Here is a 13,152-nt window from a genome sequence, read left to right as displayed (position 1 = left end):
TCTCCTGCATCATTTCTAGTTTTAGAAGTTGGGGAAGCTTTTGATCATCAAATGCTTTGTGGGAAAGCATGTCATATTTACAAAGGGAGGGGCTGGGAAAATGATTCTGAAATTGATGAGATTTGGTTTTTGATAAGAGTGACTCACCATATAGAATGCCTTCAGCTAAAAGCAACAATATTGTTATAATGTACCTATTGTTAAAGCCTTTGGGCGTGTGGTCAAATAATTACATAATGGAATCACAGAAGCCAGTAGCAAATGCTGGTTTCACTCTTTCCTTCTGAATAGGCCTAGCAAAGTAACAACAAACTCAGGTGTTGTCCTGGCAATACGATAGGACATTCCAAAGATAAGAACTTCCATTGATAGGAAAAATTTTGACTCTGACTTCCTAACCTGGTATCCATGTACTATAAAGAAGGCTCAGCTCATCCTAATATCGAACGGTGGGTGAGAATTCAACTCCAAAGCCAGATGGTCTGGATGAAAATCCAGATTCTTGCCTTACTAGTTATGTGATCTTGGGCAAGTTACTTATACACTGTGTGCCTCATTTTCCTCATCTATAAAATGGGGTTATCATAATACTAGTAGGGTTATTGTGAGGCATAGTCAATGCATGTGGAGTGCTTAGATTACTGCTGGCATATCATAAGCTCCTAGGAGTGTTCATTAAAACTATATCAGATTTAAGAGTACTTGGGGGTGAGATCCCAGGTGGGAAATTGGCAAATTGAGTAAGAACACCTGTGGATGCTCCTAAGCCCAACACAGAACATATTGTATATGAAACTGTATCCCTTTATTCTAAGTAGTTTAAGGTTCCTCCATCAATAAAAAATACTTCAGGCATTATTAATTATAAATGGGGGAACACTTCTAAAGGAACAAATGAACAGAAAGCAATGCCTAGTTCCTTTCTGGAAATGTTCTATTCTTGGTCCTCAGAGAGAGGAGGAAGATGAATTATAAGAAGGTAATTTGGAAGCCCTCAGATATTACTTACCTCAAACAATAAAATACAGTTGGTTAATAAAAAGGACAAATCTATTACATAGCTTTATGTACTTGCTGGTTAAATTAGCATTTTGTTTTATTCTACAAGCATAATAATCATTTTTCTGTGTTCTACAAGGACATTTCAATATCAGGAAGAGTTTGGATCTCTAGATCTTGTATTCTTAATAAATCTATTCTTAATGATCCTTTAAATGTTTGGTATAAGCAGATTATAACACCCAAGTTGCATTAAGAGATTAATTGCATTGTATAATTCACTTCTAATAATCAACAAGTAGAGCATCTACTTTAAATTATCCTTGGACGATTCTGCCTTCCAAGTTCTTATTAACTACTCAGAGATGTACCAGATCCAGGATGGTTTTTTGGTTGTTTTTTAATTAGAGACAGAGTCTCGCTCTGTCGCACAGGCTGGAGTGCAGTGGTTCAATCATAGCTCAATGTAGCCTCTACCTCCCAGGCTCAAGCAATTCTCCTGCTTCAGTCTCCTGAGTAGCTGGGACTAAGGCATGCACCACCATGCCTGGATAATTAAACATTTTTTTTTTTTGTAGGCACAGGGTCTTGTTATATTGCCCAGGCTGGTCTCAAACTCCTGTCCTGAAGTGATCCTCCCACCTTGGCTTCTCAAAGCATTGGGATTACAGACGTAAGCCACTAGGCCTGGCCTAATCCAGGATCTTGTGTTGTCTTTTCAGTCAATTAATAACCACATATTGAGTGCCTATAATATGTCAAGTTTTGTGCTCGGGTAGCAAGATGAATTATCCATGATATCCTAGCACTTGAAGAATTTATAATTTATTAGGGGAGACCGATTCCTTCTTGCCCTGAAGCAAAAAGGCCACTTTAATCCAAAACACCTCAATTCTGGGATGATGTCTGAAATTCTGAAACATTTCAACAGAGTCATTGAATTGAAGCTGTTATTTTGCATCAGTCAGAGATGAGATGCTGTGATGCCCAGAAGGATTCTGAGCAGGGGAGCAGAATGAGAAAAATGGACACTTTAGAAAACCTTTCCAAATTGTTGGATTAGTTTCTCAGACCTCCCTTAACAGATTACCGTAAATGTGGTTGCTTAAAACAACAGAAGGCTGGGCCAGGCGCGGTGGCTCATGCCTGTAATTCCAGCACTTTGGGGGGCCGAGGTGGGCAGATCACGAGGTCAGGAGATCAAGACCATCCTGGCTAACACAGTGAGACCCCCGTCTCTACTGAAAAATACAAAAAAATTAGCTGGGCGCGGTGGCGGGCGCCTGTAGTCCCAGCTACTCGGGAGGCTGAGGCAGGAGACTGGCGGGAACCCGGGAGGCAGAGTTTGCAGTGAGCAGAGATCGTGCCCCTGCACTCCAGCCTGGGAGACAGAGTGAGACTCCATCTCAAAAAAATAAAAAAACCAAAACCAAAAAAAAGCAACAACAGAAAGCTGGTCTTCCATGGTTCTGGAGGGGAAAAGTCTGAAATCAAGGTGTCTGGATACTCTGGGGGAGAACCCATTCTTTGCTTTTTCCAGCTTCTGGTGGCTGTCAGCATTCCTTGGCTTGTGGTTGCATCACTCCAGTCTCTACCTGTGTGGTCACATTGCCTCCTCCTCTGTGTCTCCTCCTCTTCTGCCTGTCTTAAATCTCCTTTTGCCTTTCTCTTATGAGGACCCTTGCCATTTGATTTAGGGCCCACCCAGATAATACAGGGTGATCTCCTTACCCCAAGATACTTAATTAAATCTGCAGAGACCCTTTTTATGAATAAGGTACCATTCCATAAATGTTGGGGATTAGGACATTGACATACTTTTTGGGGGCCACCATTCAATCTACTATAGTTATTTTACAGTATGTATATTTCCAATATTTTTATTTAAAAAATCTTCAGAAAAATCTTATATATATTGTAGGTGACAAAGTATGTCCCCTAAAACAATAGTAATTTTCATCCACTCTATTTCTTCATTTATGTGGATAATTAAGAATTCACAGCCGAACGTGGTAGCTCACACCTGTAATCCCAGCACTTTGGGAGGCTGAGGTTGGTGGATCACCTGAGCTCAGGAGTTCGAGACCAGCCTGGCCGACGTGATGAAACCCCATCTCTACTAAAAAAACAAAAATTAGCCTGCTGTGGTGTGGGGGCCTGTACCCGGGAGGCTGAGGCAGGAAAATTGCTGGAACCCGGGAGGCGGAGGTTGCAGTGAGCTGGAATTGTGCCATTGCACTCCAGCCTGGGCGAAAACAGCGAGACTCTGTCTCAAAAAAAAAAAAAAAAAAAGATTTTACTATATATCCAATTGCATGTTTAAATTTCATTTTTGCATGTTCACATTTTGCAACTATTATACTTAGGCATTTTGCTCTTATAACACATGTTAAACTTTGAGAAGAAATAAATCAGACTTATAATTAGTATAGGAAATATAAATTCCCAAACTGTGACAAGTCTAGCTAGAAATGACAACTGTTTTTATATCACACTTGTGAAAATGATGCTGAGGTACTTGGATTTTCTTAGTGTTCCAGATCTCATATGAGCTGTCTGGTCACGGGGAACTAGAACATAAGCCATAAAAAGTGTTACACGACAACTTCCGATTTCTGATTGGGCATGTAGGGAGCTTGAAAGTTGCTACTCCCGTCCACAGAAGAAGAAAGCTGAATAATTTTAAATCAGCAAATCTTCTTAGGTCCATGAGAGAATTAAGGGCACAGGGCAAACCACTGACCCCAAAATTAGAGAGACAGAAATGTAGGTAAAGAGAGTGACAGCATACTGGAGCAGAAGCCCATAAACAGAAACCTTCATGATAACTGGTATTGGGGTAGGAAAACCTTAACTGTAATTGATGAAGGCTCCGTGAAGACAAGCCCGAGAGAGAAACACTCCAGAGGGGCCTAGTTTTACAGCAGCCCCACACTTAGCGAGTTTTACTTCCAGGAGCCCTACCAGTCTCTCACAATGAAGATGGGAGAAAAATCCCATCATACTTCTGGCAGGCAGAGGGGAAAAAGGAACCATTGTGAAATAAGCAGAGCATTCTGTTTTTCTTAACAAGGTGTGGCCAGGTGCTGTGGCTCACATCTGTAATCCCAGCACTTTGGGAGGCTGAGGTGCGAGGATTGCTTGAGCTCAGGAGTTTGAGACTAGCCTGGGCAGCATGGTGAAATCCCCTCTCTACAAAAAATACAAACATTAGCAGGGCATGGTGGTGCACACCTGTAGTCCCAGCTACTCAGGAGGCTGAGGTGGGAGAATCGCTTGAGCCTGGGAGGTTGAGGCTACAGCGAGCCGTGATCATGCTACTGCATTCCGGCCTGGGTGACAGATCTGACCTTAGTAATAACAATAATAATAATAATAATAAATAATAATAGTAATAATAATGATAATAATAAATTCAAAAAGCCAAGATTTGCCCTCAAAAGAAATTATTTTACCAGATGCTAGCTGATCGGGTTCGACAAAACGTCATCCCCGTGGGGGAAAGAGAAATACCCAATTTCAGGCTTCCCCCAAAAAACTTCTCTTCCTGTCTTACCTAGGAGAGTGTATTAGTCCATTCTCATGCCGTTATGAAGAAATATCTGAGACTGGGCAATTTATAAAGGGAAGAGATTTAATTGACTCATAGTTCTGCACAGCTGGGGAGGCCTCAGGAAACTTATAATCATGGTGGAAGGCACCTCTTCACAGGGCACTTTGGTAAACATCCTTTCAGACGTGTGCATGTGTGTATGTATGTATGTATATATACATAGGTACGTACTTGCATCTATGTAAAAGAGGAAGAGTGTTAGGAATAAATAAAGGTAGAATAAAAACTTATTACATATACATATGTATACACACACACACACACACACACACACACACACACACACACATACAGAGTTGGCCCTCTGTATCTGTGGGTTCTGAATCTGTAGATTCAACCAACCAAAGATGAAAAATATTCAGAAAAAAAGCACATTCCTACTGAACATGTACAGGCTTTTTTTTCCCTTGTCATTATTCTCCAATCAATACAGCATAACAACTATTTACGTGGCTTTTACGTTTTATTACCTATATATTGCCTAGAGATGATTTAAAGCAGGGGTGTCCAATCCTTTGACTTCCCTGGGCCACAATGGAAGAAGAAGAATTGTCTTGGGCCTCACATGAAATACACTAACGCTAACGATAGCTGATGAACTAAAAAAAAAAAAAAAGTCGCAAACAATTCTCATAATGTTTTAAGAAAGTTTATGAATTTGTGTTGGGCCACATTCTAAGCCATCTTGGGCTGCATGTGACATGTAGGCCATGGGTTGGACAAGCTTGATTTAAAGAATACAGGAGGATGTGTGTAGGTTATATGCAAATACTACACCATTTTATATCACAGACTGGAGCATCTCAGATTTTGGTGTCTGCAGGGAGTCCTGGAACAAATCCTTCGTGGATACCAAAGGCAACTGTATACACACGTATACACCCTCATGACCTAGTCCCCTCCCTAGGGTCCCACTTCCGAATACCATTATCTTAGGGGTTAGGACTTCAACGCATATATTTAATGGTGGGGGGGAATGTGTGTGTGTGTGTGTGTGTGTGTGTGTGTGTGTGTGTGTGTTTGTATATATAAAAATTTTTTAAAAAGGGATGGTTATGTATGTTCTCTCTGATTTCACATTTAATACATCTGTAACAGCTTTCTATGCATAAAAACACATTTTTTAAAGTTTTAAGTGTGCCTTAGTATCACCTGAAGTCTTAAAATTTAAAACTCACTTTTGGCTTTGATGTTTTATGAAGTGATGGGAAATTAGAGAGGTACAAATGGAAATGAAACCAAACAATCTTCTCATTGGGAATGGAAGCCCCAATAGCACACATCTCTGATGACTTTAGTGAGCTTCTCTGGAATTCAAGCAGCAGCAGGAATATAACTGAAATCCCTGTTCTCAGTCAAAATAGTCTACTAAAGGCAGACATGAGGATTTCCCAAATAGCAAAATCGATTGCATAAACTACTAGAATTTTATGAAGGCAATGCATGAGCCACAGGGTCTGAGGAAAAGGGGGCAGAAAGAGGTAGGGCGCAGTGGGTCACGCCTGTAATCCCAACACTTTGGGAGGCTGAGGCGAGGTGGATCAACTGAGGTCAGGAGTTCGAGACCAGCCTGGCCAACATGGCGAAACCCCGTCTCTACTAAAAATACAAAAATTAGCCAGGTGTGGTGGCATGCCTGTAATCCCAGCTACTCGGGAGGCTGAGGCAGGAGAATCACTTGAACCTGGGAGATGGAGGGTTGTGGTGAGCTGAGATCATGCCACTGCACTCCAACCTGGGCGACAGAGCTAGACTCTATGTCAAAAAAAAAAAAAAAAAAAAAAAAAAAAGGAAAGAAAATGGAACCGAAAGAGAAGTCGAAATTCTGTGTGCTTAGCTTGGTGGTGACCTCTCTCCATACAGAGGTGAGTTTTGAGAAGCCACATCCTCCTCTACTCCCTGACCCCCAGGAGTTCCAGAAATGGAAAAGACCTGGATTATTTCCCATCCACCTTTGCCCAGCAGGTCTCTGCAGTCTCTGGGAACGGTGACCTTTTCATGCCCTTTCACTCTTGTAAGGAGCCAGAACAAGGGCTGTAGCTTGGGTGTTACCAGCCGGCTGCATTCTTTAAAATGTGAACAAAACAAAACAGAAGCCACACCCTAAAATTTGTCCTGAGGACTGGTCATTACTTTCTCTTGGTTCCTTTTTTCTCTAATGGAGCAAGAGACATACCATTATGGGAAGGGCCACCATCTTTAATGGTTGTTGAATCAGATGGAGGCTGATCAGGGGAGACATGGGGCCAGGATGGGAGAAGGTAAGATAGCAATCTTCAAAACAAAGCCCTCATGCTTTACAGAAGAGTTGACTTGTTAAAATAATGTTTATTGTAGAAAATTTGGAAAACACAGGAAAATACAAAAGAACTGTATGTAATCCCACCTCTGTTAACAGTCTCGGGTACACCAGGCCAATGTTTTCTATACACATTCAGTTATATAAAATTAACAAAAAATGATATCATCACGAACAAATGTTTTTATAACCTTTTTCGCTTAACAAAGTATCAGAAACATCTTCTTATGTCATAAAATTCTATTTAACATTATGTTTTACCTTTTCACTTTAATTTTTAAGAGGCACTCTGTTCCAACATGACATCTCTGTTTTGTTTTATTTGAGCTTTGATACCTATTTTTATTGGATGAAGTTCCCCTAGCAGCAGCAGCAGCAGGGGATCAGGTTTCCTTTTCATATAATGAAGGCTCTTTTCTCCATCCATCGCCATGAAGCCAGGTTCATTCATTTCACTTAATTAATATTACTCATGCTGAAGGACACTTGGTTGTTCTGATGTCTACTGCTGATGAGCACATTGTGTACCGTGCACTTTTGTACAATATTGGTAGAAGAGCAGGCTCCATGCTTGTTTGATGAGTCATTATCCTGAAGGGAAAACCACTTTCCAGATCTTTCAGTGAAATCTCAGCCCCTTTACTGAGCAACCAGCAATGGGTTAGCATGGGTTACTTCTGTTGTTGATTGCCACAGGACATTTTTGTTGCATTATCTGAGACAAGAAAACACCTTTGGACAAGCTTGCACCCATATTTCACTGGAAAATGATCAGAGAAATAGGAAAACAAAAGTAATAGTCACGTGGACTACTAGCTTAGTTTTCATTTGGGCCAGGCTTCCCTTTTTCACTCATTAAAAGCTTGGCCTGTGTATTAGTTTTCACACCACTGATGAAGACATACCTAAGACTGGGAAATTTTCAAAAGAAAGAGGTTTAACGGACTTCACAGTTCCAAGTGGCAGGGGAGGCCTCACAATCATGGTGGAAGGTGGAAGGTGAAAGGCAGGTCTCACATGGCGGCAGAAAAGAGAAGAGAGCTTGTGCAAAGAAACTCCCCTTAATAAAACCATCAGATCTCGTGAGACTTATTCACTATCACGAGAATAGCATGGGAAAGACCCTCCCCCATGATTCAATTACCTTTCACTGGGTCCTTCCCACAACACATGGGAATTGTGGGAGCTATGATTCAAGATGAGATTTGGGTGGCGACACAGCCAAACCATATCACCCTGCAACTATGTCCTCCTTATGTCCGGCCTGCAAGTGGGGCCTCATTCCCAGGAGCTTAAGCCATTTGCACTGAGCTTAAATGCAGAGTTAGTTGACCACAAGTAGACTAAGCAACTGAATTAATTTGTTAATATAAAACAAAACATTCTACTTTTGTAAATGATGTGGATGGCATTTGTCTTTGAGACTGCCCTGCTGATTTTTTCCAGACTCTTGGTTTTTGTTCACTTCTGGGCTCAGAAAACCCTGCAGCCTCCCTGAATTCATGGGGCCCTTTCCTTGTTTTCTCTTCTGTTTGCCCTGTTAAGTTTGCTGAGAGGTCCCTGCATCTGTGCTCTTTCTGGTGGTGTCCAGACGCCCTCTTGTCCTGTGGTTGCGGCTCTCCCCTCTTCCAACCCTGTCTATTTGTCCTCACGCCTTTCTTTCCTTCCCTTCTTCACTTTATTTCTTCCTTCCCCATCTTCCTCCCTCTCTGCCCTCTTCTTGTCTCTCTCTCATGGTGACTCATTCATTCATCTCTGCTATTTCTCTCTCGTTCATGCTGCTGGGCAGAGATCTGGGAACAGAGAGGGAGGTGAGTGTATCAGCGGTTTTCATGTCAGCAGAATTTGGTGGTGTCCCTGCTTGGGGGGCCCCTAGTGTGATTACTCCTGCCTGGAACCCTTCAGAGTAAGCAGATGCAAATCCTGCCCAGTTCTTTGACCCTGGCCCTGTTCATGCCACCTGCTTTCTGTCTTAGGGTGAATGAATATTATGCTGTCCAATGGGCCATCGGTGGCTCTGAAGCACTTGCAATGTGGCTAGTCCAATTTGAGAGGCGCTATAAATATAAAGTGGGTACTGCATTTTGAAGCATTAGTATGAGAAAGCCAATGTAAATGATCTCATTAACTTTTAAAATACTGATCACATATTGAAATAATATTTTGGATACATTGGGTTAAATAAAATATATTGCTAAAATATCATCACTTGTTTCTTATTACTTTTTAAAATATAGCTACCAGAAAATTTAAAATTACACATGTGGCTCACATTTGCGGCTCTCATTATATTTCTGTTGGACAACACATGTGTGGATCTTTGGACTATTCCTCAGAACTTGCAGTTTTCTAGTTGCTAAGTCTCAGAGCTTTCTTCTGAGGACATCATGGCTTTCTTCTTTTTATTTACTTTTACTTCTTGGAAATGGGAATATTTGTCTTAAAGACAAGAATATACGCACTTCTACTAATTTATCTTAAAATTATATATTTTTTCTTTTTAGAGATAAGGTCTGTTTCTGTTGTCCAGGCTGGAGTGCAGTGGCACGATAATACCTCATTGCAGCCTAGAACTCCTGGATTCAAACGATCCTCCTTCCGTAGCCTCCTGAGTAGCTGGGACTACAGGCACACACCGCCACACCTAGTTAGTTATTATTATTTTTTTTGGTAGAGACAGGGCCTTGCTTTGTTGCCCAGGCTGGTCTCAAATTCCTGGCCTTCTTTGATCCTCTGGCCTCAGCTTTCTAAAGTGCTGGGATTACAGGTGTGAGCCACCGTGCCCAACCCTAAAATGAATTTTTAAAAGGAAAAAAAAAAAAAGCCAGCAGCCATATCCTGTCCGTGGTTAAATTTTAGTTTATAATGATATCCAGATTTTTTAAAATGAGTCTTAGCCCTCCGCCATTTTTGTTCTTGAGTTTCCCTTAATATTCTGGATCGGTTAGGCCATCAGATGCGTCTGCTGATGGGCGGTCCCTGTGCCCCATTTGGTCCTGTCCAGTCCACCTCCTCACTTCCTCCAGAACTGCTTAGGCATGGCTGCAGGACAACCCAGACATAGATTCATGACCCAGAGATGTGCAAAAGTGAGCTGGGCCAGTCAACATGTTTTTCTTTGGAATACTTACTGGAAATAAGAAAGAATAAGGCTGTTGTTTGTGGGAGGTGAAGATGAAAAGATGCCAAGAGAAGCAGGAGGGCCCACGTGTGGTCACGGCCAGCCAACATTATAGAGGGAAATTGTGGGAAAGTACGCTCTGTGGGCAAGGAAACCTGTGCATGAAGAAGCAGGTATGATTGGCAGATGAGGGTGAAAAGCAGCACGTGGTGTCGCAAGAAGCTCACCCGGAAAGGTCAGAGATGTTATGCTAATGCAGGCCGCTCAGCTGAAGACCCTTGAATTGATCCTATTACAGAGGGGGTTGTTTTTTTCCTCTGGTGGCCCAGTTTTACAAAGATTTCTTCCTTTTTGAAGGTGGGTTGTTCAGTTTTTCCTGGGTTCCTGCATATGGGGAAAATGATCATGAGTCTCCCTCTTACCGACAGTATATGATAGCTCTCTGTTTTTTTTAACCAGTTTACAGAAAACGCTACCTTCACTTTGGTTTTTTTTTTTCATCTCTGTTTATTTTTTCTTATTATTTTACTTTAGGCTCCGGGATACGTGCGCAGAACGTGGCTACATTCACTTTGGATAATTTTTTTTTTTTTTGAGACAGAGTTTCACTTTTGTTGCCAAGGTTGACATGCAATGGCCCGATCTTGGCTTACAGCAACCTCTCCCTCCTGGGTTCAAGCGATTCTCCTGCCTCAGCCTCCCGAGTAGCTGAGATTACAGGTGTGTGCCACCATACCTGGCTAATTTTTTGTATTTTTAGTAGAGATGGGGTTTTGCCATGTTGGTCAGGTTTGTCTTGAACTTCTGACCTCCAGGGATCTGCCTGCCTTGGCCTCCCAAAATGCTGGGATTACAGATATGAGCCACTGTGCCTGGCCTACATGAATTAATTTTTATTTAAAAAAAATACAGTGCAGAGGTCCCAGGCCTGCAGGTAATGATTTTCTAATCTACCACATTTCTACATCCTGTCTAGGAGAGTAAAATCCTACCTCCCTTTCTTGCCTCCTATGATGATAAGACCTCAGAGAGTCTTATCATTACAAAACCAACCAGGGAAGACATGAGAAATTGCTTAGCTAAGGCAGTGGCATTGGGTCTGGGTGTGGGGATGATTCAAGAGCTTTTTTTGGAGATAAAATTGGCAGAATTAGATAGCTGGACAAGGTGGCTTAGGGAGAGAGGAAGGAGTTATTGTTGATTTTTAGGGTTCTGGATCAGAAGATGAGGATGCTACTAATGGAGTTGCTCTATAGAGAAGGAGGGGGAATTTGGAAAGAAATATGTTGACTTTGCAAACTACCTAGAATGCTTGTGTCTACCTGTGCAAAATTAAATGGAGAAGTGAGGCAATTATCTGAAGACTGCAAGTAAAATAAGCCCTTTCATTTCGATGGGGCGGAGAAAGAGAATGACACTTGTTGAAATTTTACCCACTTTGTTTTAAGGTCTCTTTCATGGAGGACAACAACGAGAAGGAATCATACCATCTCCCTTTCCAACTGATTATTTTAGAAGTCCCAGAACGTCATTATTTCCCTAAAGAGAGATCAGAATTCACACAGAGAGGGTGTATTAGTTTCCTTTTGCTGCTGTGACAGCACAATTAATTGGCTAAAAGCACACATTTAGTATCTCACAGTTCTGAGGGGCATGTTCCTTCAGGAGGCTCGGGGAGATAATCTGTTTCCTTGCCTTTTCTTTTTTCTTTTTTTTTTTCTGAGACCGAGTCTCACTCTGTTACCCAGTCTGAAGTACAGTGGCACAATCTCAGCTCACTGCAACCTCCACCTCCCAGGTTCAAGTAATTCTCCTTCCTCAGCTTCCTGAGTATCTAGGATTACAAGTGCATACCACCACACCCAGCTAATTTTTGTATTTTTAGTAAAGATGGGGTTTCATCATGTTGGCCAGGCTGGTCTCAACTCCTGACCTTAAGTGATCTGCCTGCCTTGGCCTCCCAAAGTGCTGCAATTACAGGTGTGAGCCATCCCTCCCAGCCTCCTTGCCATTTCTAGTTTCTAGATGCTACCCACATTCCTTGTCTTGTGGTCCCTTCCCCTTCCTCCGTCTTCAAGGCCAGCAGTGTAGCATCTTCAAATCTCTTTCTCTGATCTCTGCTTTTTTTTTTTTGTCACATCTCTTTCCCTGACTCTGATTTTCTTGCCTCCCTCTTAGTGTTATAGGACCAACAGATGCAAATGCCTCACTGCACAGTAATGGTCCAATACACTGAAACAGTAGGGTTTGCAGCAGAGAAACTTTAATGATCGCAGAGCACCGAGTGAGGAGGTGGGAGGAGATCCTCAAATCTATCTCCTCAAGGAGTTTTGGGCTGGAGTTCTTAAGGGGATGATGGAGCGTGAGGGGCTGGAGCGGGGGGTCATTGATTGGTAGGGGTAAGGGGGATGAAATGATCAGGACATGGACGCTGCATTCTTTGGTGAGTCAGCTTCTTGTGGGGCCCTTCAGAGCAGCTGGCCTCAGTGGTATGCAGGACCTGCAAGAATATCTCAAAGGGAAAACTGATGTCTCATAATGTCCAAGTTGTTATCTATGGAGTAGTTAAGGGGAACTATAATCTTGTAACAGGGTCTATGTGATTCTGAAGCAATAGGCCCCAAATAACGATGAGGCAGCAGGTCAGAGAGCAGGCTGACCCTGTGATTAAGGCTGCATGAGCTATAAGCTTGGTTTATTTTTGTTTCTCCCCCTCCCTTCTTCCCTGATTAATTTTATAGAGTTTATAGGGACAGTTTCATTAGGAGGCCCCTTGTGATTACACTGGATCCTCCTGGATAATCTGGGATAATCTCTTCGTCTCAACATTCTTAACTTAATCACATCTGCAAAGTCCCTTTTCCTGTGTAAAGCAATATATTCACCAGTTCTGGGCATCAAAATGTGGACATTTTAGGGAGTGGATTATTTTGCCTGCCACAAAGGGTCTGTCTTGTCCTTTATCCCAAGAGACTCAATCCCAGAAGGGGCAAAACAAGGGTTGCTTGTCCTCCTACCTTTCTTTTTTCCTCTTTCCGAGTCTAGAAAGGTTTTAGCTCACACTTGCAATTATGAGTTGATATCTACAGATGCTTTTGATAAATTGGAAGTTTGGGACTT

The 13,152-nt window shown here is 42.1% G+C and overlaps 1 protein-coding gene across 2 annotated transcripts in view, besides 1 other annotated feature; it reads left to right on the top strand.

The window, feature by feature from the left end:
- The window catches only part of NEBL (nebulette), a 513,078-nt gene that overhangs the window by 101,161 nt on the left and 398,765 nt on the right, over positions 1-13,152 (top strand). The gene's annotated exons all lie outside the window — the stretch shown is intronic.
- Positions 6,576-6,870: a silencer, noted in NCBI's record as "tiled region #12641; HepG2 Repressive non-DNase unmatched - State 10:DNaseD". NCBI's record gives its function as "represses a minimal TATA promoter and a strong SV40 promoter by Sharpr-MPRA in HepG2 cells {active_cell/tissue: HepG2}" and the evidence as "EXISTENCE:reporter gene assay evidence [ECO:0000049][PMID:27701403]".

This window comes from Homo sapiens, chromosome 10, assembly GCF_000001405.40.
Source record: "Homo sapiens chromosome 10, GRCh38.p14 Primary Assembly".
In the NCBI taxonomy this organism is placed as follows: Eukaryota; Metazoa; Chordata; class Mammalia; order Primates; family Hominidae; genus Homo; species Homo sapiens.
Note: the sequence above shows the minus strand (reverse complement) of the source record. Positions and strands in the feature narration are given on the sequence as shown.